The following is a 4,275-nucleotide window of genomic DNA, read 5'->3' as shown; positions in this document are numbered from 1 at the left end:
ACATATATATATACACACGTATATATATTCTACATATGTATATATACACACATATACACACATATATCATTGTAAATGTATATGTATTTCATATATATTTACAATTTGTATCATATCTCATATATGCATATATATACATATATGAAAGAAGAAAAGAAGAGAGAGGGGGAGAGAGGGAAGGAGAGGGTAAAAGTTGTTCACACCTGGTTTTTACGGAAGCCAACGAATATGTTTCCAGGAAGTCGATGGCTGCCTATACCTTATCCTAATTGAGTGTTAGCTTGGAGCCAAATCTCATCACTTTCCTACCACATTGGTTTTTGGAGAGGTAGGCAGTCTGTCACCCAGGCTGGAGTGCAGTGGCACAATCACAGCTCACTGCAGTCTCCAACTCCTGGGCTCAAGGGATCATCCCACCTCAGCTTCTCATGTAGCTGGGACCACAGGCATGCAACACCACACCCAGCTAATATTTTATACTTTTTTTTTTTTTTTTTTGTAGAGACGGGGTCTTGCTGCATTGCTCAGGGGCTGGTCTCAAACTCCTGGCCTCAAGTAATCCTCCTGCCTCAGCCACCTACCACATTTTTCCTGCAAATTTGCTTAATGTAGGATAGCACAACCAGACACACTCAATCATTTCTCTAAAGCTCTACTTCTGTGTAGGAACAAAGAATGAAGTAGGAGAATCAGACATTCCCTGAGAAGAATGCTTTATTTCATTCATGCCTCATATGGTCCAGTTACTATTACTAGTCAGGGAATCTTCCTGTTTCTCCAATTGGATACATTAAAAAATTAATGGGAATAAGAAAAAGCTTTGGGAAATCTGCTCTTAACTGGCACATGAGATAGTGATCCACTGTCCTTGCCCAGTTAAACCTTTGACAGCCTCCATCCAGGTCAGTAATACCTTGCTTTCATCCAGAAAGGGACAACTTGTTTCTCTTTGAATCAACTTATCCTCTGATCCTAACAGAAGGCGAGCCTCCAGCCTTGGGGACAGAGTACCAGGTATGAATTCCAGCTATGCTGAGTGACGTGGGGAAGCCACCTAACATTTCTGAGCCCCTAGATGTTCATCTGTGAAGCACAGGTCATGTTATTTGCTTCAAAGGATTGTGCTGAGGCTCAAGGAAAATAGATGAAAGTGCTTTCTAGAACTCTGATGATAGAACTGAAAGCTAGAATGCACCTGTTTAGTGAAAGATGTGGACTGCAGGAAGTAGATTTCTAATATGAGGTGACCACCAGAAGACATCTACCCCTATCGAGGCTGATTGTCTTTTCCAAGGTAGTGTAATATAATATGAAGGGTCTGGGGGTTCCGTTTCAAGAGGACTGTATTAGAAGATCACTGTAAGAATAAATAAATACATATCTATATGCACATGCACGTAGGCAATATTCATCATTAAGGGTGTGAGCCCCTGAGCCAGATTCTCACATTCGAATCCAAGCTTTGCCACTTCCTTCCTGGGCCCAATCTCCCCATTTGTAAAATGTGGATAGGGTGGTTGATAGGCGAAAATGTGTTAACACACATCAGCTACTTAGAACAGAGTCTGGCACATGATAAGCTATGTTAGGATAGGGATTTTGCCTGGATTTTCCACCACTGAGGACACAGGACATAGAACCATAGAATGACTGACACCATGTAGTAAGCGCTCAACGAACAGTCATTAACAGAAAGAATTTGGAAAGCAAGAAGATTCCCTTACAGGAGGAGTGAACTCGACTCTGTCCTTCTCGACTTTGTGTGGTGTCTCAGGGCCTCAGCAACCATTTTTTATAAATTGAAGCAGTTTGGACTCAAGAGTCCCTAAGGCCCTCTTGAGTTTGAAAGACTCGAGTAATTTTAACTATATTTTAAAATCTCAGGCCGGGTGCAATGGCTTACATCTGTAATCCCAGCACTTTGGGAGGCCAAGGTGGGTGGATCACTTGAGGTTGGGAGTTCAAGACCAGCCTGGCCAACATGGCGAAACCCCACCTCTACTAAAAATACAAAAATTAGCCGGGCGTCATGGCATGTGCCTGTAGTTCCAGCTACTCCAGAAGCTGAGGTGGGAAAATCACCTGAGCCCGGGAGGTGGAGGTTGCAGTGAGGTGAGATCATGCCACTACACTCCAGTCTGGGTGACAGAGCGAGACTCTCTTTAAAAAAATAAAAAATTTTATGAAAGAATTCACATTCACACACCTTCAAACTTTGCTGGGTGTCTTTTTTCTCTTTTCAAAAAAAGGTTTAAAATCTCCCTACTTTACTTTCCATATTCCTCTGTCCCCAGGGGATGAGGAATAGACTCTCCCTTATTGAATAGCAGAGCTGTAATCTGCAGGAACAATTACTTCTTTACTTCTGCTGGCAAATCTTCAGGGCTGTGATCAAGGTGAGAACGGGAACGGAGGAGAGAAGTGCTGCTGCTTTTCTGAGCTCTAATGTGCTTCATAGTATAGTCAAGGATTGGAATAATAATAATAATAATTATTATTATTATTATTATTATTATTTCCTTCCCTGATACACAAGAGCAGGGCACACTGAAGTTGTTGACTCAACAAATGGCCAGGGTCTGAAAGTGACAAGATATTGATGGAAAGGCATACTCCCCGGCCATTCTGTTCACAAGGTACATGAAGTGGCTTCATTGAGACCCCATTAGGGAGCAAGTTCAAAATCTAAGGGAGGGGAAAACAGTTTGCAAAGCTAAATGATCCCAATTTGGGGAAGGGGTGGTAGTAAGAAGCACAGAACAAAGCTTAGAAAAGTATACACCAGAATGATGTATATTCTACATAATGGTTATTTTCTAGTGGAATTATGGGCTGTCAAAAAAACTAAACACTTTTTATTAACTTTTAATGGCAAAAACCACAATTATTTTGCATTAACCTAATATTTAAAAAGAGATCCCTGCACAATGTGAATATACTTAATGCCACTGAGCCATACACTTAAAATGGGTTAAATGGTAAAACGTGTTATTTTCACAATTAAAAGATAAAATAGTAAGTAATAAAAATAATAAAAGATGTAAAAGCAGTGTGATACTAAGAAGGGCTTAGCCAACCCCCAAGGGCACTGAGGCATACCTCACAACCAATAGGTAACAGGGGTTCTGGTCTCCCTAATTCTCAGCTGGACTCTGGAGAAAAATCAGAAATGCAGATTCCTGGAGGGGTAAATCAACTCCTGCCCCTTTCCCTGTGCCATCTTAATTCTCACTGGCACCTGCCACACCATCACCGGGAAGAGGCCATGTCCCCAGTGGACGTTATACTTCAATGTTTCAGAAACCTGAAGTTACAACCCGATGCCTTTACATCAGAAAAGAGAAGAGAAGAGAAGAGAAGAGAAGAGAAGAGAAGAGAAGAGAAGAGAAGAGAAGAGAAGAGAAGAGGGGGAGGGGAGGGGAAGAGAGGGGAAGAGAGGAGAGGAGAGGAAGAAAGAAAGAAAGAGAGAGAAAGGAAAAGAAAAGAAAAAAGAAAAAAAAGAAAAGAACGAAAGAAAAAGAAAGGAAGGAAGGAAAAAAATTATAATGGAGATGGGGGTGGGTACAGCAGGAAGAGAAACAAGCATTGCCCAACCACCAGGGAACGGGCGAGGGGCTTCAGAAACAGGTTTGCCCTTTTGCAAGCAGCTCCGCGGATGCAACATTTTGCACCTCATTTCTCTTGCTCATCGCACCCCCAGGCTGGACGCGCGGGGCCGGGGCTGCAGTGGCTACCAGCAAACTCCAAGCCGGCTGCAGCAGGCACGGGCTCGGGAGTGCAGAGCTCAGCATGTTTCTGCAACTGTTTTGATGATGCTTTTGAGTGTTCCCATCACTACCGAGATGCTGCCGCTCTCCTCATGACCACAATCTATTAGCTCCAGTAGCTTTTGAGCGACTCAGCTCGGCCGCAGCTTCCTGCTTACCGTGCGCGCTGCCTGGGGCGCTGCCAGCCCAGCCGCGCGCGGGGACCACGCGGTGTGGGCGCTATGCCACCGCCCCCAGCACCTCCCTCTGCCGCTGCCGCCCAGAGTCCTGACTCTTACGAGATGTTTCTTTTTACAAAGATCATCGTAAGCCCTTCTCAACAGTTCCTGACAGTTCATGATAAGCTGTCACTGCAGACATCCTGAAGAACACACAGCTTAGTGCCTGTGATTCTCATAAGAGAATTCTCAAGCAACATTTACAAGTCCAGATCCCGGGATCCAGGGAGGCTAGGAAGCACGTGGAGCTCAGAAAGGGGCTGGCTGCATCCTCTGCTGAACAATTAGAT

The 4,275-nt window shown here is 43.9% G+C and overlaps 1 annotated feature.

The window, feature by feature from the left end:
- Positions 3,981–4,060: a silencer, noted in NCBI's record as "silent region_2119". NCBI's record gives its function as "represses an Ori minimal core promoter by ATAC-STARR-seq in GM12878 lymphoblastoid cells {active_cell/tissue: GM12878}" and the evidence as "EXISTENCE:reporter gene assay evidence [ECO:0000049][PMID:35858748]".

The sequence above is a fragment of the Homo sapiens genome, chromosome 10, assembly GCF_000001405.40.
Source record: "Homo sapiens chromosome 10, GRCh38.p14 Primary Assembly".
Lineage (NCBI taxonomy): Eukaryota > Metazoa > Chordata > Mammalia > Primates > Hominidae > Homo > Homo sapiens.
The sequence above is the reverse complement of the archived record's forward strand: the minus strand, read 5'-3'. Positions and strand labels throughout refer to the sequence as shown.